The sequence below is a fragment of the Homo sapiens genome, chromosome 14, assembly GCF_000001405.40.
Source record: "Homo sapiens chromosome 14, GRCh38.p14 Primary Assembly".
Classification (NCBI taxonomy): Eukaryota; Metazoa; Chordata; class Mammalia; order Primates; family Hominidae; genus Homo; species Homo sapiens.
Genome location: NC_000014.9, coordinates 61,433,784 through 61,457,710, shown reverse-complemented (window position 1 = coordinate 61,457,710; position 23,927 = coordinate 61,433,784). Strand labels below are relative to the sequence as shown.

Sequence of the window (23,927 nt, the reverse complement as noted above, 5' to 3'; positions counted from 1 at the left end):
TGTTGGTGCAGTGAATGTGATTCATACTTACGGGGGTCTGAAAGCAGCAGAACAACTGAGTGAGGAAGGGGTGATTGCGGGCCAGAGACAGGATCCTTTTCTCGGTCATGGTGCATTCCACATCATCATCCTGCAGAATCACGTCCTTCTTCAGCACCTTCACAGCATAGAGGTCTCCTGTTTCTTTTACTCTTGCAAGCATCACCTATGGCAAAGCAAAAGGAGGGAGCATGAGGGAGTCCTCTTGGGGGTCTTAGGGTGTGTGCACACAACAGGAAGAAAGAATGGCACATGAGAAATGTGAGTATGTGCGCATGCGTGCACACACACACACACCCCCCATACACAGAGCACACTTACTTCAACCCAAACAGTTAAAGCCAAGACTCACCTTCCCAAAACTCCCCTTCCCCAACACTCGGATGAACTCAAAGTTGTCGATACCAAGTCGGTTGGAAGAATTAACCCCAATCCCATTTCCTTCTTTGCTGCTCTCCTTTCCCTGTCGTCTTAGGGTCGATCTGGAAACGAGTTTCTGAAAGAGTAAGAACACATTAAGTCAGAAATTGCAGCAGAAGCATGGAGCACCCATGCACGAAGAAGACCTTATTGGCTGGGAGCAGTCTCACCCCCAGTATAACGTGGGGGAAAGATCAACTCAGTTTGACAGATGATCGGTTCTGCCACTCGAAACTCCCTCAGTATCAGCTTCTGAATCTGTGCTTACTGCTTTGTGTAAAAGGTCAATTAAAAATACGTCTAAGCCATGGAGTTACAGTTAGCGCTCAAGTGGAAGTGCATGGAAACACCAATGCCTTGTGTGGTCCCTTGGGTGCCTTCTGCGGTGGCTTTCCACGGGAAGGTCCCATTCCACGAGCGCCACCTAGTGTCCACTTTTTACAGAGAGCAGTTCTCATGTCTACTCAGAGATTCAAGCATCATTCAGCACCAGGACACGAATGAAGCAACGTTTTTTAATCAATATTTTAAATTATATAGGAGAAATAAAAGTCCAATGTGAATATTAGAACAATGATCAAAAGCATGAAGAATAAAAATCTAAATACCTAAAATCTCACCAGCCCTCTGCCAAAGATATCTATATCCATGTATAAATAACACACACGCACACGTTTTTATACTTGGTTAATTTTTAAAAACATAATCAAATTATGGTTTCATAACATACATTTGTATTCAAAAATTTGTCCTGGGTATTTTTCATGCCTTTAAATTTCTTTCAAGAATATGAGTTCTAACGGCTATTCAATATCCATTTCATGGATATCTCACAAGGTATTAATTCCCCTGCCATTAGAAGGATGAGGCATCTCCCCTTTTTCACCACAGTGAATAACACTGGAGTGAATACACTTCATGCAAATCTTCAAAACAGAGTAATTAAGGGTCTAGCTCTCAAGCAAGCTGCCTGGATTCAATAACAGCTCTGCAAGCTAACCTAAGACCCTGAGCAAGTTACCTACCCAGCCTCTCCCTACCTCAGTTTCCTCTTCTGACAAAGAGAAGGTTAAAGCATCTGCCACATGAGTCATTAGGAGGCCTAAATGAACAAATGCATGTAAAGCACTTAGATTGGTGCCTGGCACATTCAATAAACTTAAGCTGTATTGTCATTATCATTATTCAGTTTCTTAAGATAACTTCCTGCAAATGGAATTCCTTGGGCCAAAGTGCTAATTTTGAAGACTTCTGATACACAGCCAACTTACCGTCTACAATAAGACTGACCAATCTACACTCTCACCAGCATGATGAGAGTTCTAGTTTCAACACAATGAATGGAAGGTAAGTGTGCCTGCCTCAGTTGGCTTTCCAGTTCCATCCTACTGAGTACCTGAGGATGTTGCTACCTAAAGGCAAGGTGACTTTTGCAGCTGGCCCACCTTGAGACATTTATAAGATAAGCTACCACTAGACAACAGATCAAAAGTCTAACATCCAGCCAGGCACCGGATGTCATGGATTAAGGATACTTGATTCAAATGACAAGTGCACTGTCCATTCCTAAAGATCGTGCTGCATGATCTTTATTCCTATTCTTATCTTATTCCCATTGTATCTCAGAAGCCCTAGTTCAGGCTGATATCTTTAATCTCTGCTCTTCAGGGATAACTGTCCCATGCATTAGCAATCCCCGCACAATATTGGCATCCTGCCCGCCTACCCACAAGACAGACAGACCGGATTTCAAATACATTTTTTTACATAATAGGTTTCAAATACATTTTTTCACCATGATTTGATGAAACCCATTCATCTAAATCACATGTAACAGTCATTGCTGATTTAGTATGATCTAATATAAGGATTAAAACATTTATCGTAGTGGCAATTCAATAAATTGTCAATAGGCCAGGCGCGGTGGCTCAAGCCTGTAATCCCAGCACGTTGGGAGGCCGAGACGGGAGGATGACAAGGTCAGGAGATCGAGACCATCCTGGGTAACACGTTGAAACCCCCCATCTCTACTAAAAAAAAAAAAAATACAAAAAATTAGCTGGGCGTGGTGGCGGGTGCCTATAGTCCCAGCTACTCGGAAGGCTGAGGCAGGAGAATGGCGTGAACCAGGGAGGCGGAGCTTGCAGTGAGCTGAGATTGTGCCACTGCACTCCAGCCTGGGCGACAGAGCCAGACTCCGTCTCAAAAAAAAAAAAAAATTGTCAATGAAAGTCCCTGATCTACTAGGCAGGAGTCCTTCAGTAAAAAGGAAATGAGGTGGTTGGTGCTGACATTTTCAGGATTATCAAGAATCTCACAGTAATTGCACTTCCCTTCCTCAGCACCCAGAGATTAATTAGTTGAGTCGATAATTTTCCTGAACTGGACACCAAGCTACACCGTTCAGATCTTACATGGCTATTTCCCATCTCTAGACGCTGACCAGGAAGGCAACAGTAAGACATGGGCTTGGGAAGCAGCCAAGGCTCAACTGGATGACAGCAGGTGGAGGTCATTCAGGGAGAGTGCTGACAAAAACATGTGCACTGCAACTGACACAACTCCACTCACTCCTGAGAGTCCAGAGGGAGAGACTCCTGTCTCCTGCTGAATGTGAATGATAAATTCACAATCCATAAACCAAAACTTCAGAACTGCTGGACTCCAGGGCTGTGCAGAGCCTCTGAGATCTTCAAGTTGAACCGCTTTAGAGGTGAGGACGCTGACGCCCATAGTTACTGGTCACCTGTCCTGCCTGGTCCCCAGACAAAAGCATAACCCAGGATCCTGGGTTTTAGGCTTTCACCAGACCACAGTGACAGGAAGCTGATTTTAAAACAGAAAAGAAAGGCTGGGCGTGGCAGCTCATGCCTGTAATTCCAGCACTTTGGGAAGCCAAGGTGGGCAGATCACTTGAGATCAGAAGTTTGAGACCAGCCTGGCCAACATGGAGAAACTCCGTCTTACTAAAAATACAAAAATCAGCCAGGCGCGGTAGTGGGCACCTGTAATTCCAGCTGCTCGGGAGGCTGAGGCAGGAGAATTGCTTGAACCTGGGAGGTGGAGGTTGCAGTGAGCGAATATCACTGCACTCCAGGCTGGGTGACAAAGCGAGACTCTGTCTCAAAAAACAAATAGAAAAAAGAAAAAAGAAAAAAAAAAGGAAAGAAAGGAAAAAAGTCCTTCTTTTGCTTTCTGTTTATTACTTGTTGCTCATGCTCATTATTTCTTGTCATATAACTGTATATACAATCTTATCCGTGAAACAAATTGCTATTAAAAATGCTATTTCAGCCAGACACAGTGGCTCACACCTGTGCAATCCCAACACTTTGGGAGGCCAAAGCGAGAGGATCGCTTGAGCCCAGGAGTTTGAGACCAGCCTGCGCAACAAAGTGAGACTCCATCTCTACAAAAAAAAAAATAAAAAATTACCCTGACATAGTGGTGCACACCTGCAGTCCCACCTACTTGGGAGACTGAGGTAGGAGGATCACTTGAGCCTAGGCAGTCGAGTCTGCAGAGAACCATAATTGTGCCACTGCACTCCAGCCTGGGTGACAGAGGAAGACCCCATCTCAAAAAGGAATGAAGACAGGGAAGGGGAAGGGGAAGGGGAAGGGAGGAAGGAAGGAAAAAGGAAAGGAGAGGAAAGGAGAGGAGAGAGAGAGAAAAAAAAGGGAGAAAGAGAGAAAGAAAGAAAGGAAGAAAGAAAGAAAGAGAAAGAAAGAAAAGAAAAAAGAAAGAAAGAAAGAGAAAGAAAGAAAGAAAGGCAATAAGTCTGTTTATTGTATTTGCTAAGATTAGGAACTTTGATGAGGCCACATGCTCTCATTTGGGCTCATCACATCTGAGCAACTTCTAAATTACGAGACATGGAAAAAAAGCAAAGTCTCACCGAGGTTGGAGAAATATTTCCGGGTTGGAGACCCATCCCTGCCAGGGTCTTGGCAAGTTCCACCGCATTTACCCCACAGTTAGGGGCCACGTTCGCTTGACATCGAATATGCACATTCATTTTACATACTAGAGGGAAAAGGAAAACAGAATCCATGTTCAGAAAGGAACCAATTCAACATGTGCTGCAACAGAGAACTTTAATAGCCTAAAAGATTATAACAGAGGAATTATACCGGCTGAACAGTATCATTTTCTCATAAAATTAAGCTCACACTAGTAATAGTTCCTGACATTTTATCTATTTCTGTTTTCTGCAGAAGCAGAAAGGCAAGCATACTAAAGAATAATATATTTCAAATACATTTTTTCCACCATGATTTGATGAAACCCATTCATCTAAATCACATGTAACAGGCATTGCTGCCTTAGTATGATCTAAGATTAAAACCTTTATCGTAGCGGCAATTCACAGGCAATTAAATAACAAAGAATCATGTCAACTGTATTTTTTTCTGTCTCTCAACAGTGAAATAAAAGGTAGCAGTTTAAATGCCACATGTAGATCACTGTTCAAACAGGATGGAAATGGTGTTTCTACAAGAAAAACCTCTATCTGCAGCTTTCTTTCTGAGTATTGTTGTGGTTGGGCAGGCCTCACAGCACAGAGATGGGCATCCTGTGAGCCTGTGGTTCTCAGCATTTGCAGCCTGTGGTTCTAACTGCTTCATAGTGGGGAAAGGCAACTTTTAAAACTTTCTGAAGGTCAGAGTACAAATGGCAGTTGAAGAGGCGAGCAAAGAAAGCTAAGCTCCTGAGGCACCGGAAGCTGCCTGGGGACAATGAAGGATCTGAGGCGTTATCAGCTGGAATAAATTCTGAGACAGTTTTTTGACATGGGCCCTGCTGATGGGAGGTGAAACTGAAGCGACAAGCAACACATTCCTGTTTTATGGAGTCAGTCCATCTTGGAAGCACACACAGATCCAGGTTTTGTGGGGCCTGAATTTACATAATTTAGGAGGCCTTCTTTAAGAAAAAGAACACCAAATCAAGTAGAGGGCTTTGGAAGGTGCCCTTGAGAGAGAGGAGCCCTGAGACTTAAGCTTCATGGGAAACCCACCCCTCTCAGGAAGACAGGTGTAAGACACACGAGCCTACAGAAGCCTTTCAAAACCACCAAGTGACCATAAAGGCAAAAATCACAAGAGCCGGATTGCTGCAGGTGTGCTACCCTCAGGCCACTAGGGAAGAGGACAATGCAGATGAGCCCCATGCATGGCTCTGCGCATCAGCAACAATGCAAGGCAGAAAGGGATTTCCCACTGGGAACCCATACCCAGGTGAGACCGTCACGCTAAGATCAAGCTGCACCTGGACCAACGCCCTACAAGTTATCCATGAGCTGGCTACTGTTTTGGTTTTATGAGAAAAAAATTATTAGTGTTCTACAGAGATAGAAGAATGTGCCCTTCTTAAAGACAAGTGACTGGCCCCTTTTTGTTGACAGAAGCAGGCTCTGTAAGTCCAAGCAGTCAATGGAAGTTGTCTGGCTATACTCATGCCAATTCTACCTCACCATTGTTCTCCTCAACTGGCGACTTGGGGTGTGTCTGATAAGAAAGGCTTCAGGTGCACCCCACGGCAGTCAGATCATTACATTTCCATACAAGATGGCACAAGGCCAACAGCTCCCTAACTCCTAACAGGACAGGGATCAGCTCTCACCCACTCAGAGCCTTTGCTAGGGCCAAAGCTCCAAACTCTCACTCCACTGGGCACAGCTGGTGAGATGCAAGCTTACAATCAAGGCTTTATCTTCCTTCATTCTACCCCTGTCTCCAATCTCTTTCACAAGACCCAGGGCAGCTCTTTTTATGCTGTGACAACTCCATTCCTGCTGATTTCTGGTGAGATCATCAGATCTATTCTGCCATTTCTTACTCTTAACCCAACCTTCTCATTTGGCCATCTCACCTCCTCACCTCCTCCTAACTTCCATTTCTTTGAAATTTTTATTTATTTTTTTCTTTTTAGTGTCTCACCTGACTCAACCATCTTCCATTTCTGACTAAGATCCCATCTTTTTCTCTTCCAAACACCTATTAAAATACAGTGTCTAGGCTGTATTTGTCAGCTAGCGAGCTAGATCACTGAATATACCATTTGACTTAATGTCCTATGATTAGAAAATGTTGGCATCAGATGAAGTTCTCTTTACATGCCTGACAAGAAACATGTAAGTTTAAAATGACTAAGATGTTGATTTACAACATATCTAAAACCATCAGTTCTAGGACAGATTCTGAGTCCACAGAATTCTGAAAGCTTAGGGCATAGTGTTCCCATGAAGAGGTGGGTACCCAGCACCTCAGCATCTCACTTTTACACTGAAGTCCTTGTCGCATTATTCCCCAGAGCAGTGAGCCACAGTGATCGCAGAATGTTGGCACTTTGTAGTTGTGGATGCTGAACTTGTGTGGGATGTTGATCCCGAACCTCTGTTCTGCAATCTGTAAAAAAGGAAATAAAGGGACAAGAGCTAAAATGTCATACCAATGTCCTTTGTAAAAACTGTAATAGGAGCCCATCAAATGCAAAGTGTCACTATGACACCTGAGCTAGGTATATTATTTTACTGTACTCAGCCCTGATTAATTACTCAGGTCTTACGAACCAGACTAAACACATTTTCTAATGAACAGGACAAGACAGAAATGTGGGAAACACATTAGATCATTTGCCATTTTGAGAAATAAAAATTAAGATTTTCACTTCATCTTTCATATTCAGGCCATATTTCTCTCCTTGCCAATCCCCTAACACCCCCATCTATTTCCCAGAACCTTTTAACTTCAGGATTAAATGGGTCTTTTATACACTATATATACTTGCTATCACTGTAAGTTCTTCCAGACATTGTGTCACGGGAAGAAAAATAAAAAGAAGAGACTCAGAGGCCATGGAACCACAGAAGGAATTTATTCCAAAGTGACATTAAAGTAACTACTTATTCAGCTCTTCCAGCCTTTCTTTGCCTGGCATTTGCAATCTGACAATCTGAGTTAAATCTCAGTTTCCAGCAAATAATTCCACTAGGCATGTACTCTGCAGTCCATACCACAATTTGATGCTATAACAACAGATCCATGCATGACAAGGAGTAGGGCAATCATTACTCCTCTTGAAACTTTTATGGCCTCTTTCTTGGAAAAGCTGTGGTTTATACCTCTAGGTATACTCTTTAGCAATCCTATATGTGTACTATAAAGAACCATTGTGTTCCAGAGTCATTCTTCCAATGCCTCTGCAAATCTACTGCTAAATGTCAGCAACACTCCATCTGCTTTTACCTCTAGAATTTAAAATGTATGCCTATTGCAGATGAATGCAATATGAGTGGCAAGAATGATGTTGAAGCTTATACACATACACACACACACACACACACACAGAGAGAGAGAGAGAGAGAGAGAGAGAGAGAGAGAGAGAGAGAGACATCTTCCCTGAAATTTCTTAAGAGGCTGGAGAAAGCCAGCAATCTTTTTACTTAGGAAACATAATTTACAGTTATTAACATATGTATCACATCAATTCTATGTTGTTTAACTTACAAAAACTGTGTGAGGGAAACATTGATCCTGTTTTAAGACTGAGGAAAAGAGAGATTGTAGGCCTTGCCGCAGCTCATAGAGAAGATGGCTAACAGAGGCTGGATTCAGCATTCAAATCCAGGCTGTCAGATGCCAAGTTCAGGGCTCCTTTCACTCTGCCAAAAGTCTCTCCAAATAAGTAGAACCAATCCATATAGCTTATACCCAGCCAACCACTAATGGGGTCCTCACAAAGGAGGGATGATGCCACATAAATACAGAAATATAAATGCCATAATTTAAAAAAAGGGAGAGAGACATTTCTATTCTAATACAACCCTTGGCTTCAAAGAATGTGGAAGGGAGGTGGCAGGGGGAGGAAAGCAGAGGTTTGGGGACGGGGAGAAGGAAAAGAGGGGGAGGAAAGGAGGGAGGGAGGGAGAGAGACGGCGGTACACAGCATACACAATACACACGCACATTTAATCAGCAAACTGCTATCCTCTTACCTTTGAATCCACTTTGTTAATATTGTTTTGGCAAGTACAGGCTGTAACAATTAGATGATGGCAGCGTTTATGGACGACACAGGTGCACACTAGGAAATTAAATCCAGCAATTATACATTTATCAGAAGCTCACAGTCCAGCCAGTTACAGCAGAGTCAACCAGGGCTGCACCGTGCCAACAAGACTGGACTCGTCTGGCCCCCTTGACAGCAGCTGGTGCGCCCATCCTTCCTATTGCCTTCGCCACCATCCTAACACAGACCTTTGCTCAGGCTCAAACTATCCCTTATCAAGTCCTGGGCCTATTTCTTCCTTCCTGACTTTATTCCATCCTGCACCCACCACCAGAGGACTCTTCTAACACTCTAGTCCTGCCCCCATAATCGAAAACATTCCATGGTAATTCACTGCCGATCAACAAAGTTCAAATTTCCCACCCAGGTTCCAGGCCCTCCAGAGGCTGCTCCAAGCTACCTGTCACCTTTCTTCTATGGGATCTACTTGTTCCAGTAAAAACTACATGGGTTGCTCTTCCTGGACCCTTCCAACAAACTATCGATGCCCTTTTCTCTCCCTGGGATATCCTTTTTGCCTATCAACTAACCAAATCTTAAGTTTAGGACAAGATGTAACTCAGAAAATGTCTCTTCCATGAAAATACTCTACCCCATCCCCACTTCTAGACTGAAACCACCTGCCCTCCTCTGATCTCCCACAACCCTTAGCCTGCCCCTTCATTTCAAACCTTCCACCCAGCCTTGTAATGCCCTCAGAATTCCTTGCATGATGCCTTGAACAGAGGAGGCATTCAATAAATGTTTGCTGAATGGCTTAATCAACTGTTGAAATATTTAGAACTTTCGGAATAACATTTTTTTCATTCTCATCTAGATAAGTGATACACTGCAGATAGTTGAGCTTGTCATCAAAGGATAAACACATGCAATGAAGCAGTATAAAAATGTATATCATCTTAAGATCTTTCAAGACATGTGGAAGGTTTTAGGATTAACTACATAAAGAGAGGTGACATGTCAGTAAATAGCATCATACCTTAAAACAAATCTAGCTTTCATCAGATTCAATTCTCAGGAGAACCAAATTGAAAGTGCCCAGAGAACTGGTCTTTTTATATGAGGGGATCTCAAAACCATCCTTCACACAGAAATACTTTATTTTTTGAGGTATTTGGTTTTTTCCTGGTTAGCTTGGTAAAGGCTTATCAATTAATCCTTTCAAAGAATCAGCATTTGATTTCATGGATTTTCTCTGTTGTTTTCCTATTTTCAACTTCACTGATTTCTGTTCTAATTGTATTATTTCTTTTCTTATGCTCGCTTGAGGCTTAAATTTATCTTCCTTCTCTAGTTTCCTAAGGTGGAAATTTCGAATCTTGGTTTTAGATCTTTCTACTTTCCTACTGTATGCATTTAATGATATATACATTCCCATCTGAGCACTGCTTTTGCTGGATCACACATATTTTTATAAGTTATATTTTCATTTTCACTTGACTCTAAATATTTTTTATGTTCTCTTGAGTCTTCTTCTTTGACCCATGTGTTACTTAGAATGTGACATTTAACCTTCCAATATTTGGGGATTTTCCAGCTATCTTACAGTAATTGATTTCTAGTTTAATTCCATTGTGGTCTAAGAAGATACCGTTTATGGTTTCTCTTCTTTTAAATTTGGTAAGGTATGTTTTATGGCCCAGAATGTGGTCTATGTTGGTAAATGTCCCCTGTGAGCCCGAGAAGAATGTGAAAACTGCTGTTGTTGGATGAAGTATTCTATAAACGTCAATTTCACCTAGTTGTGATAATGCTGTTTAGATCACCTATATCCCTACTGATTCCCTGCCTGCTGGATCTATCAATTACTGAGATATTGAAGTCTCCAACTATAGAAGTGGATTTGTTCATTTTTCCTTGTGATTCTATCAGTTTGTCCCATGTATTTTGATTCCTGTTGCTAGGTACATACATACATGTTAAAAATTGTTATGTACTACTACACTGGTCTTTAAATAAAACAAAACAAATAAAAATGTTAAGTCTTCTTGGAAAACTGACCCCTTTATTGTTGTCCCCTCTTTATTCCTGATAATTTTCCTTTTTCTGAAGTCTGCTCTGTCTGAAATACCTATGCCAGTTTGCTTTTGATCAGTGTTAGAATGGCATACCTCTCTCCAACCAGGCATTTGGTTTTATATGCCTTAGGGAGACATCACCAAAGTGGTGTCTGCATGTCTCCTAACTAATAGTCTTCCCTGCTCTTTACATAGCAGGTGACCCACTGAAAATCAGGCCATCAAATATCCAGGCACTATAGGACAAAGAGAAAAAGAAATAAAATAACAATAGAGATGTATCTTAAATCCCATGTTTTAAACTCAAAACCATAATCTTGTTTATCCAGAGCTTCTCAACTTATCTTGGTGTGCATAAGATGGGCTACCATGGACTGCAGGGCATATTCCTGTGCTCACAGGCCCATGCCACAAAGTGACAGCGATTCTGGCTTGTGAACTGTCTTCTCACTTGGGACTGAGATTAACAGCATACAGGTCAATTATTGCTGTCATATTGATTATATATTTGTTTTTTCCTAACTTTGAAAGTTCAATGGAATTGTTCATACATAGTAAAGTCAAAATTAGATCCAAGAGTATGTCTTATTCAGTCCATCCAAGGGAAGTAATGTTTTACCTCACATCTTCCAGAAGAGAAGGTGAGATTTTCTTATCCACACATAGGCTACTGCTCTAGGATATGTGGTGCTATTTTATCAATCATCCACATAGTGAAACAGGTACCATGTGTATAAACTATGTGATGATACTCATGTCAAAGGTTAAGGGGGAACCCAAATGACAGGCAAGCCTGATGGGCCTGGCTAAACCACCTGACTGAGGGCTCTTCTTCCATTCCTGCCATTGTATTTCTTTCCAATTATGCTAGAAACACTAGTAAATTGGTTTCATCTTAGATTGTGAAAACTAAATATAACATGTAGTAACTTACAAGATCACTGACAGCTTAACTTTGAACATTTCTCACTTTTTTTTTTTTTTTTTGAAATCATAACATTTCAAAAAACAACTTGGATAATAGCTTATGTTCCCTGGACGGGGAAAAAGAGAAAACAGCAGTGTGCTACTTTTCATCCCTATCTATTATCAATAGGATTGTAAAAAACAAAAGTTTATCTTCAAAATTTAAGAGTATGCTCACAAAATCACATTACCTTTTAGTACTCTCATGTTACTGCAGAGACAAGACTTTAAACAATGAAAATTTATTAGGTATCCTGGCTTTAGAAATAAAAACGTCCCCTTTACATTGTCTAAAATATGGCCAAGATCTCACCAAACTAAAGAGTTGTATCTACACAGGGGTTTCCTTTGACCTACAGAGAGTTATTTATCACAATATTAAGGGAAGATACCCTGTTTTCTCTTGGTATAATCATTTCTTTTAACATAGGAACAAAATGAAACATGGTTTTAAAAATGTTTCCTTACCTTGGCACTGATAACCCTGTTTCCCAAACACTCCCCTGTTGAAGAGAAGAAAACTACCATCAGTCAAGTATTTCAGCAATAACCCTCTTATAGTCCTTAAGGAAAACAAATTTCATCCTCTCCTCCTTTATGAAAAACACAATTTCAGGGAAGAAGCAAAGATCATGTGCTTTCTGAGCCATTGTTTGTTACTATGAGACACCAGAAAAAACCATGTGCTGGATTAGAATGTGCTGTATGATACAAATGGGTGGGTAAAAACCATTCCCATTCCATCTACCTCCATGGCAATTTCCTAAGTCCTCAGTGGCAATAAATCCTCATCTGTACGTGTGATTAAGCCTTGGCCTGAAGAGTTCCCACCTTATTCTCTCTCACATAAAGATGTTCAGATGCTGAAGTAAACGGACACAGATACACTGTGGAAGTGCACAGATGAGTCTACCGCAGCTGCCTGTCCCAGGGGACCTGCCCTTGTCCCTGTGTCCATATCACCCCTGGAGTCCACAGGTGGGCAGAGTTGCTGCCACAATATGCCCTTCAGGCCCACCACTTCCATCTTTGCCTCTCCCAAATATATTCTATGGGTGATGATAATGATGGTAACATTAGGAGTATTCTCATTCTCATTAACAAAGACCACAGTAACTAAGCCCATAGGATGTGCCAGGCACTGAACCAAGCAGCTGATATATACCATTTCATTTAATCCTCACAAAAAGCCACGGGAGGCAGCACACAAAATAACATGGTTAAGAGCACAGACTCTGAAGCCAGATGACCTGATGCTTTGAGCCACAGTTTCCTCATCCATAAAAGGGACTAATGATAACCGTTCCTACTGCACAGGGCTCTAATGAAGATTAAAAGTTGTAATATAAAATGCTCACAATAGTGCCTGGCCCTTTAAGTACTATATGAAAGTTTATTATACAAGTAAAATAAGATTGTTGTGTCTATTTTGCAAATGAAGAGACATTGACAGGCTACGCAACTTGACTAAGTCACACACCCAGTTGGTGATGAGACTGGATGTCAGAGTCCATACTCTTAGCCATATATATTAATATATACACCAATATTTTAAGTGTGTGTGAGAGAGAGAGTATGAGGGTGACAGTGTATGGGTGTGGAGGGGGGGAGCGTTAAAGGCTGGTTGGGTACAGTTAATGTTTCTCTGGTGGAAAAAAGTCAGTGAAATGATCAAATAAGTTTCCATTATGAATGTCAGTTCAGGTCAGGGGCCATCACCACTAATGCCTACAGGGGCCTGGCAGGTCATGTAAAAGAAACAGAAAAGTGTGACATGAAATACACTGCAAGAGGCAAGCACCCTTAGGTCACAAGTGAGCAAACCACAGAGAGGTGGGGCTGTGGCTAAGTCGAGTGCAGCCTCATGCAAAGAGGAAACGTGAACTCAAAGACGCCAGGGCTGCTAATTTTTTCCCAAAAAAAAGTAATACAATTTTTTCCCTAAATACAATAAATGTTATGACACATTTGTTGGCTTCATATCTACAGCTGGTTTAGCATCTCAAAATCGTTGTTTCTTGATTAAAAATGTCAGAAATACTAACTAGCCCTAGGTTCTGACTGTTGAAGATATAAAATCCAAAATAATCACAGAAAACAAAATACAAAGTAATTGATCAACATTCAGAAACTGCTCTGATCCAAGGGCTTCTGCCTTCACTAAACAAAATAATTAAAGTTGACAACAAAAATATAGATCTCCTTTCACGCTACCAAACTGTGTTTTCTCCTTCTGAGATGGGTGTGTGAGGGCATCTTTCTTTCTTCCCTTTCCAAATAAGTATGCTTAATTTATCACTAAAGATAACTACTGCTTAAATTTATTTTACATTTGCCACTGAGACTGAGACTTAAGCTTCAGTTGTATGTCTAGTAAGATATTGCCCCAAATCTCTAGAATTTCTCAATGTTGAATTATCTTAGTTCCTACTAATTCCTAGGGATTAGATTACAGTATATGATCACTGAAGGCTATTATCTTCTGTTACATACCAAGAGGCCGAAGACTACTTTGTGTTTAGTTTTCTCGCAACCATTAATTTCCATAAGTCATTATGCGATTCATGCCTTCTTAAAGCAATACTGTTGATTATTCTTTGGTCCTTAGGGGCTGATTATCCAATTTACTGATTGTTTATTGACTTATTAGCCTTTTTCTCTGATTTATGCTTGTTGACCAGTTTAGGATTCATTAGCATCTTTACCAAGATGATTTTAAAAAGAAATGGTATCTAAAACTTGGATCTGTAAATTATTTAGATGTTTTTGCAATGGAGATTTAAATTACTGGGTCAACATACTAGAGTAAGAGGCAAAAATCAGATCCTGAAAGAATTCTTAAATAATCATGCATTCTGCTGAAGTCATACATAACCAGAGGAAGCCTATTAGATGGAAGCTCTGAGGAGGACAGAAGTAAGGGAACCCCTTACCAGATAAACTCCCTGCAGTGAGAGCAGTAGGTGGGCTGCCTCAGATACGTGGCCATGAACTTGTGTCCATTGATCTGGTGGACTCGCCTTCGCATAGCCCTTTGGCGCTTCCTGGTAAAATGTTTGAAGATCCGGTCTCTCTGGAGAGTAGCTATATATTAAAAGGAAGGAAAAAAAGAATAAGATGTAAGGAACCTAACGCACCTAATAGATGAGAAAGTTTGATAGTTCAAGTGCTCACTCCTCAAATTATTTTTTCTTTCTTCAAGATCTAAACCATCCCCCCTAAAATCATTATGGCTTCCTAACAGGACTCTTTACTTTGAGACAGGACCTCACTCTGTCACCCAAGCTGAAGTGCAGTGGCTCAATCATGGCTTACTGCAGCCTTGAACTCTCAGGCCCAAGTGATGCTCCTACCTCAGCAACCCAAGGTGCTGGGACTACAGGCATGCACCACCATACCCAGCTAATTAAAAATAATTTTTTTTTAATAGAGATGGAGGTCTCACTGTGATGCCAGAGCTGGTCTCCAACTCCCAGGTTCAGGTGATCCTTGTGTCTTGGCCTCCCAAAGTGCTGGGATTACAAGTGTGTGTCACCGCACCCAGTCATGTGGCTTTTTAAGGTTAGACCTATGCAAACCCCTGAGATGCCCACTGCCTGGTTATAACTGGCTATCATGGGCCAATCTCTTGTAGCACAGACCAAGGGTTTCCCAGGGTTCTGATAGGGCAGTATGTGACATCAGCATGGTCTCCTAGCTCCAGTCTGGCTGTCTGTGACCTCGCGTCTATCTATGAGCTATAAGCATTTCTCATTATTTTCCTTTAATTCTGGTATCCTCGCAAACTAAATGAGGGAATCGCCCACAGCACAGACTATGAGAGCTCTGTCCAAAACCCATTGGTACAGGATCACCTCTGTTAACCTGGAATAGGTAGAAATTAACCTGGAATAGGTGCAAAATTCCTTTTCTAACCTCACGCTTTTAAAACAGTGGCTTCTAATCTGAGGACTCTGAAAACTACATCATTATGTCTTCCAAATAATTATACTAGAATTTTTCTAGTGTATGCAGAGACTTGTGATTAATAAAATATAGCTTATTTCCTCAATAATGCTTTAATCATTGAAACAAAGGAAATTTAAGAAACCATGAAATAATAATTTGCTAAAAAATTTTAAACCCTGGAAGAGACAGAAGATTTCAAAGATAATCTCAGATACCTGTTACAAAGGAAATTATAGAACAATAAGAAAACACAGAAAAATATTATACTCCTAGGATAAGATAAGGATAATAAAACTTGGCCGGGTACAGTAGCTCATGTCTGTAATACCAACACTTTGGGAGGCTGAGGCAGGAGGACTGCTTGAGTCCAGGAGTTCAAGACCACCTGGACAATATACTGAGGCCCCATCTCTTAAAAAAATTTTTTTAAAGGGATAATAAACTCTAAAGGCATCCAAAGTTCACAGATTTGCAATTTAAGAAATTTAAAGTTCTATTTGGCAAAAAAAAAAAAAAAAATACAAAGCAGAAAATTGAAAGAAAGAAACTGAGGGAGAAGAGGACTTGTAACACATGACAAAGGGTTACTATTTATAATACACAGAAATCAATTTTTAAAAGTATGAACAATCCAGTAAAAATGGGGCAGAGGATGTGAAGAGGCAATTCCTAAAACTGTAAGTGCAAACAGCCAATAACCATGCCAAGATGTCCAATGCTACCCAAGACGGACGCATAAGAACCAGAAGCTAAATCACATTTTTACCTCTTAAGCTGGCAAATACTTAAAAGGATTGCTAAAGTGTCCTTTTTAACAAGGGTGAGGTGAAACAGGCATCCCCATCCTGTCAGTAGGAGTATAAACCGGGCTCCAGTCCTGACCCTACCACACCGGCTCTCTTTTTCTTGCTAAGCCTCAGGGTTCCCATCTAGAAATCAGGTGGCCCCTTCTTCCTAGGGTTTTCCCAAGGACTGAATCAGGTAACACATTCAAAGAGCTTAGCACAAAGCTAGGCACATCGCAGCATTCAAAAAAATGTAGTTATTTAGGGCAAGTGCAGTGGCTCACATCTTTAATTCTAGAAATTTGGGAGGCTGAGGTGGGAGATCACTTGAGCCTAGGAATTGGAGACCAGTCTGGCAACATAATGAAACTCCTTCTCTACCAAAAAAAATTTTAAAAAAAGCCAAGTGTGCACCTGTGGTCTCAGCTACTAGGGAGGATCACTTGAGCCCAGGAGGTTGAGGCTATAATGAGCCATGATTGCACCTCTGCACTTCAGCTGGGCAACAGAGCAAGACTTTCTCTCCAAAAAAAAAAGAAAAAAAATGTAGTTATTTCAATAATAATTTTTTATTTTTTATTTTTATTTTTGGATAGAGTTTAACTCTGTCACCAGGCTGGAGTGCAGTGGCGTGTTCTCAGCTCATTGCAACCTCCACCTCCCAGGTTCAAGCTATTCTCCTGCCTCAGCCTCCCAAGCAGCTGGGACTACAGGTGCACACCACCAAGCCCAGCTAATTTTCGTATTTTTAGTAGAGACAGGGTTTCACCATGTTGGCCAGGATGGTCTTGATCTCTTGACCTTGTGATCCACCCGCCTCAGCCTCCCAAAGTGCTGGGATTACAGGCGTGAGCCACCATGCCTGGCTTTCAATAATAATTTTTGTGGAGACCAATGTGACAATACCTGTCAAAGAAATTAGAGTCTACACAATAGATCTCAAAGAGTGAAATGCAGAAAGAGTCCAAATGAATTTGGCCAAGACACCAACATCTTCAGAGATTCCAGCACAGTTAAAATTATACCTGCCTCAGTTTTTGTTTGGAGGTAGGTGTAATCTTTGGCAAACAGCCTAGTTACTTTCCTTCTTAAGTTTCCCATATGTCTCAAGAAGATAAAAATGCCCCTGTTGTCCACCCTGTGGGAACAGTGTCATAACCAATAATCCTGACAGGTTCTAAGGACTGCGGAAGAACAAAAGTTACTACACTACACTGCCCTCTTCCACTCATGATACTTCTAGAAGTCATTTAGAAACCACGAAGTGAACAGATTTTAACATTCCTTTGCTTGCAGATGACAAAATTAGGCTAATGGTATCACTCTCTATCCAGCCTCTGTTATCACCAGCCTGAGACCCAGCTCAATACCGGCCAAAGCAAAACTTGTCTTGAATTATTAATAGTAAACACTTATCATGTATAGATGCAAATTAAGTTCTCCCTGGGGATCTAATTACCAAGAATTAACTTTTTAATCCCTTAATACTACAAAGATTGGTTAAAAGACCAGCCCACTTGCATGTTTAATATTTCATCAACTGAATCCTATTTTTTTTCTTAACAGCTATTGCCACTGCAATTTTCCAGTTGATTCCTTATAACCAGAGGAGGATTTAGGAAAAAACTGCATGCCAATCATTTCTTGCCACCTTCACTCCTGCCTTTTCACCTTCCTAAACGGCCCTTCCCTCTTTCCTTCCAACCATTAAGAGTTAAATTAGCCTTAACCTACCTGCCTCAGAGCCTGAGCAAACTCCCCCAAATCCTAAAGCCGGGTGACATGCTAACCCACTGTTGCCACAGCAGCCTGGGAGTGCACCGGTGACATGCTAACCCACTGTTCCCACAGCAGGCCGGGAGTGCACCTCAATGTCTTCTCTCACGACCTGGGGCCGTGTCTCTTTCACTTCTGCCCCAGGCACTTCCCATGCACTTTCATACAGGGACATGGACAAACTTCACTCTGCCCTTTTACATTATTTTGCACGTGTGCTTCGTTTAGAAAACAAACATACACACTCATGCACCTACACACACACCTGGGACTTTGCAAGACATTTGGTCACATAAAGAAAATGGGCCCCCATGGCTTCCAATGACTTTCACTGTCACCATGTTCTAGACTGCTGCCATGAGCAAAAGGAAACAGCTCTCCCACACGCTCTTCACTTGCCTACAGACTCCAACCCCACTTCACCATCGGAATGCAGAGGGAACTTCCTCATTGTTTGCACCGCCTCCTGTTTACTTAGGACTGAGTTAAAAGGACTAAAAAAAAACCCTATTGAATACTATGGTGCTTAAATCAACCAGGGCTTTGAGAAATCTCTCAGATCATGTTTTAGTTAGACACGTCAGGCAACCCTAACATGCTCTGCAGCCAAAACTTGCATCACAACTTCTGTTTGGCTCCTTAGGTGCCCAATGGCTCTAAATAAATAGGAAGCTGGCTCTGTGTCCCAGCACGGAAATTCACATTCCAATCTCCAGAGGGGTGCTGGCCTGGAGCCCTGGTCTGCCTCACCAGAAGTGGGTTTTGAAAAGCCACCCCATCCACAGGGTGCAGAGTAATTATGTCAAATATAATGAAGATTAACTATTCTAAAATCCCATCTCTTCTGAACTAAAATTATATTTCATAAAACTGGACTGTCACCCCATGCTTGTTTTGAGAACTTTAGAAAGCACATGTGACTAGGAGTCACCAAACAACCCCAGGGTAAGTTTTCATTTGCAAAAAGTTGCACTGGACTGAAACTTGTGTTGGTCATGTGAGGCTTCTGTGGATGAGGAGTATGTCTCTGAGAACTCCTATTCTCGGTTGCTGTGATTCTGTAAACTGTTGTAACTTTAACTCAAAAACAGTAAATACATCATCCTCTTTGGTCTTTTGTTCTATCTGCTCGAATTTATGGTTTTATATCCCAGCAGCAGAAATATATATTTGAAAGTACTTCTAAAATATTCCAACCTGGGGCAAAAGCGTGGATCACAGCTCCTCATTTTTAAAATGATTGTAAGCAAATTAAATCAGAGAAAATTTCTGGCATGGCACTTTTTAGTTTCCAGAATTACTGGCGTAAAATGCACAGCGAATATAACTTTGATTCAGTGTAACATACGATTGAACTCAAGTTTAATTTGCCTAATATCAAAAGCACTGTGGTTTACTGTGGCTTATCTTTAAGGGGGCTACACTGAGAAAACAGAACAGCCTTCTATATGACGACAGACAAGAGAGTTTGGTGGTTGAGGCTGTGGAATCTGGAGCCTGGGGTGTGCAGACGGCTTCTTCCCTTATAAGCTCGGTGGCCCTGGGCAAGTTGTTTAACATCCAATGCTTCAGTTTCCTCATCTATAGAACATAAAGGATATGTTCCTCATAGGGCCATTTGAGGACTTGATAAGTTAATAAGCACAGCATAATTAGAGAAGTACCCGACAGGTAGTAACTTACCTAGTGTAACTGTGAAAACCCTTACTTCACACTACCCTAGAGTTCTAGGAATAGAAAGGATTTTTTTTTTTAAGAGACAGGGTCTTGCTGTGTTGCTAGGCTGGTCTCAAACTCACGGGCTCAAGTGATCCTCCTGCCTCGGCCTCCCAAACTGCTGGGATTACAGGTGTGAGCCATTGCACCTGGTCGATAGAAAGGATTTTTTAATTCAACTGTCTATTGTCTAGAAGAAGAATGAATACCTAGGAAATTGGGGCCTAGAGAAGTTAATGTACCCCGAGACACATTTAGCTAGCTTGTGCTAGAACTGACACTAAAATCTTCCACACACCCTGCACTGTGCCCTTTATTAACACCAGGTCTCCTGGTATCCCTAGAAAGTAATAAATTTTCTAGTGAGGAAACAGAAACTAACAGGAAGGTTAAGTGAGGTCAAGCAGCCAATGACAGAAGTGAGGACACCAGACTCCGTTGACTATTGTTGAACTACTGGATATACTATCAAATGTCTTTTTTCTTCTTCCTGAGATAATTTGTTTTATCATTTGTACACGTGGGAGAAAACAACTGTGAGAAAAACAAACAGAAAAACCTTAGAGTTAACCAAAAGCTACTAGTCAAGAAAGAACCAGAAAATATTATTGGTTTATATCTGCAAAATATATCCCGGGAAGGTAATGAGGTAAGGTAGCAACAGAATTTTGCTTAACATCATCAAAAACACTGAATAAGAACTACTTGCATAAAGAATGATGCATAAAAATGTAAACACAGATGATGATGATCTCTGAGACAGTAACGACACAAACAGAGATTAGGACGCGTGATAAACAAATGCCTAACTTAACTAAACGGCTATTTACAACTGGAAATACAACGGTATTTTACAATCCTGGTTTTATATACTTGAAAATGTAAACATTTAAATGGGTATTTACAACAAGCACACCCCACCAGTGGGTGACAGTGACACGGGCACTGAGCGAATAAATCACAGGAGTTGCAGATATAGTCCTGTAACTAATTAAGGAAGACTTCCATGTTAGTAGTCTTTGGAAAAGAGGAAGGAGAACTTGGTGAATTAGAGCAGGGAGAAGGTACCAGGAATTTTGTGCCAGCACCTGTGACAAAGACTGCAACAAAAGGTTTTGGTATTTAAAAATGGCAGCAAGGCCGGGTGTGGCGGCTCATGCCTGTAATCCCAGCACTTTGGAAGGCTGAGGCGGGCAGATGACCTGAGGTCAGGAGTTCAAGACCGTCTGGCCAACATGGTGAAACCCCATCTCTATTAAAAATACAAAAATTAGCCAGGCCTGGTGGCGGGCACCTGTAATCCCAGCTACTCAGGAGGCTGAGGCAGGAGGATTGCTTGAACCTGGGAGGCAGAGGTTGCTGTGAGCTGAGATCACGCCATTATACTCCAACCTGGGCGACAGAGTGAGACTCCACCTCAAAAAAATAAGTTGAAAATAAATGGCAGCAAAAGCCCCCTCAATGGCACTAGCAGTACAGAATCCTCTGTGTTTTTTGAAAACAGCTTAACTATGTACTCATAGTTATTTCCAAACTCAGATAAAGTGGTTGGACTCACTGTATTAGACCCGGATCTCACTGTGGAGACCCAAATCAACAGCTGCTACACATGTTTCTCAGGGCTTTGGTTCCCTCTGAGGAATCTCAGCCCACACAAACACCAACCATCCTGCAAACTAAATGGGATGGCAAAAGAAGGAGAGGAAAATAATTTGTTACTAGACTGACTCTCTTGAGTAGGACCTACGGCTCATAGCATCCACGCAAGCTGAGCCCATGCTCACTCATCACTCCAGCCTCCTCTGCCAGCAGAACAGTGATTAGAACAGAACGTTGCATGTGAGCATCTGCAACAGGGCCAAAGTTCCATCCAGAACCATGAGAAAAGCCTCTTGCCACATCAGGATGGGAGGAGAGTCCTGACCTCCCATTTTCCACTCATCATCATCTTTCCTTTTTCATGTCTGTGATCTGTGCAAACTCCAAAGTACAAACTCTCCCCTTCTCAGTCCTTGAAGAAAGAGGCCTTGGCTCCAATAACAGCTCTGGTTCTTCTCTCTATAATCGTCTTTCTTAGTCTCCTTCACTGGCTTTTCTCCTCCACCCAATTTTTAAATATGTGTATGCTCCAAGGTTCCCTGCATACCATGCTTCTAGTCTTTCTGGATGTTCATTCATCAACTGCCTGTACACTGAGGATTCCCAAATATACAGCTATAGCTCTGGTTTCATTCATTCATTCATTCATTCATTCATTCATTCATTTATATTGAGATAAGGTTTGTTGATATTGAGATGAGGTCTCATTACATTGCCCAGGCTGACCTCAAACAGCTTCTGGACTCAAGCCATCCTCCCACCTGAGCCTCCAGAGTAGCTGGGACTACAGGTGCATACCACTGTGCCTGGCCAGCTCCGGCTTCTAGCTAATAAACTTATTTCTAAGTAGCTTGTCAGCATCTCTTCAAGGTATCCCCAAGCTACCTAAAACTTGGCATTTGTTGGGCTGAACCCTCTTCTCGGCCTCCTCCACCCTCTCTTTCTCCTAGCTAATTGTACCACTATCCTTGGAGTCACTCAAACAACCTTAGAGACGTCTTCAGATCTCCTCTCTTGCTTTGCTTATCCTTGTTCTACTCTGTCTCCACCTGTTCTTGTTTGGATTCCCCCAGGAGCAGAGTTCAAGATAGGGACTTAAGTTGCAAGTAGTTTATTCGGGAAGGAACCCCCAGATGCACCAGGGGATTACAGAAGTGAGACAGGAAAGGGAAGGAAACCAACGATAAGCGTATTACTGAGCAGGTTTCCAGGGTGGGCAACTGAGGCTCGATTCCTGTCGGGAATTTCAAGGACCTGGTTGAACACCCTCAGCGGGTGAGGAAGTTGGGTTATTTATCCTCTGGCTCCCATTCCTCACTGGCTGATGGCTGCTTCAGGGGTGGGAGGTATTAATTTTTCAGCATTTCCAGCTTTCTGTTGTGGGATGAAAGGAAATATGGGTGGGGCATCCATATTTATTTATCTGCTATAGTAATGTATTTACATTTACCCTGGTCCTGATTTCTCACTGAAATTTAACTGCCATATATGCTTTTAAAAAATCTTTTAAAAAGTAGAGTTGGGGTCTCACTGTGTTGCCCTGGCTGGTCTCAAACTCCTGGGCTCAGGTGATCCTCTCTCTTTGGTCTCGCAAAGTGCTAGATTACAGGCATGAGCCACTCTGCCCAGCTATGCCATATATGCTTTCTGTAGACTTCTTCAAGGTGAAGTGAAGTAGAAAATGTTTACAATAGTCTTCAAATTTCACTGTGTCTACTCCTTTCTGCACACATAAGGATGGAAATTCCCTCCTGTCCTACTATCAATTGCAAGAATCCTACAGTTTCCTTCTACAAAAATGTTCAGAATTCCTATTCTCTTGCTGTGATTCTATGAATATTTCATTTTCCTCTATTGACGTCATCCATAAAAAGGCTTTTAGCTGCCACTTCTTCTTTCTTCCTTTTTGGTGTTTTTTTTTCTCATTAACAGTAGGTCAGACATTCTTCATTTTTTAATACATGAAAATTAAACATTCCTCAGCGGATCATCACTGCTCGGTTTCAGGATGATGAAGAAAAATGTTTCTGTTCCATCACATTTGGGTTGCATCATGTGGAGGTGCAACCCCACTATGACTCTCACTGTCATTCTATCTGAAAAACATCTCAAAATGGTATTATTGTCAACTCCAAGCTTAAACAAGATAATGTATCCTGGTTTTATATACTTGAAAATGTAAACATTTTCCAGTTATCTGGAGATTTTTCTCTGATTCTTCTTTACTAAATTTAACTGGAGAGAACATGTCTCATTCATGAGCCTCTGTCCTCCTGATAACATTTTAAATGTAATGTAAATGCAATGTAAGGGAACAACGTAGCTATGATGTGGTCTCAGCTGTCAGAGAAGAGGCACCATGTAAGATCTCTCTTTTTGATTTATTGTTGTCATTGTTTATAAAGACAATATGATGATCACTATGGAAAATGTAAGTGGTACAGAAAACTATCATGAAGAGTTTCTTTTTAAAAATCATAAATCTTATTACATCAATAATCACTGAAAATCCTGGTGTACATGCCAAATATATACTGTACATCTACAGTCTTAAATTAATGATGTATGTTATACTCTATGTGTTGCG

General features: G+C 41.4%; 1 protein-coding gene across 8 annotated transcripts in view, besides 3 other annotated features; it reads right to left on the bottom strand.

Moving 5' to 3' along the window:
• Nucleotides 1-23,927, bottom strand: part of PRKCH (protein kinase C eta) — a 363,509-nt gene that overhangs the window by 93,266 nt on the left and 246,316 nt on the right. For all 8 annotated transcript variants that reach the window (XM_024449661.2, NM_006255.5, XM_011536957.2 and 5 more), the window contains exons 3-9: nucleotides 14,450-14,600; nucleotides 11,985-12,019; nucleotides 8,459-8,547; nucleotides 6,740-6,869; nucleotides 4,358-4,485; nucleotides 392-535; nucleotides 32-205 (exon numbers count right to left, since the gene is read on the bottom strand). In XM_024449661.2, coding sequence (XP_024305429.1) covers nucleotides 32-205; nucleotides 392-535; nucleotides 4,358-4,485; nucleotides 6,740-6,869; nucleotides 8,459-8,547; nucleotides 11,985-12,019; nucleotides 14,450-14,544 — 795 coding nt within the window. In that variant the 5' untranslated portion in view covers nucleotides 14,545-14,600. The remainder of the gene's footprint in view (nucleotides 1-31; nucleotides 206-391; nucleotides 536-4,357; nucleotides 4,486-6,739; nucleotides 6,870-8,458; nucleotides 8,548-11,984; nucleotides 12,020-14,449; nucleotides 14,601-23,927) is intronic.
• Nucleotides 104-273: an enhancer, noted in NCBI's record as "experimental_34691 CRE fragment used in MPRA reporter constructs". NCBI's record gives its function as "activates a minimal promoter by MPRAs in K562 erythroleukemia cells, with activity observed for both the introgressed and non-introgressed 14:61924241 variant alleles {active_cell/tissue: K562}" and the evidence as "EXISTENCE:reporter gene assay evidence [ECO:0000049][PMID:34662402]".
• Nucleotides 2,778-2,947: an enhancer, noted in NCBI's record as "experimental_34674 CRE fragment used in MPRA reporter constructs". NCBI's record gives its function as "activates a minimal promoter by MPRAs in K562 erythroleukemia cells, with activity observed for both the introgressed and non-introgressed 14:61921567 variant alleles {active_cell/tissue: K562}" and the evidence as "EXISTENCE:reporter gene assay evidence [ECO:0000049][PMID:34662402]".
• Nucleotides 18,069-18,438: an enhancer, noted in NCBI's record as "active region_8492". NCBI's record gives its function as "activates an Ori minimal core promoter by ATAC-STARR-seq in GM12878 lymphoblastoid cells {active_cell/tissue: GM12878}" and the evidence as "EXISTENCE:reporter gene assay evidence [ECO:0000049][PMID:35858748]".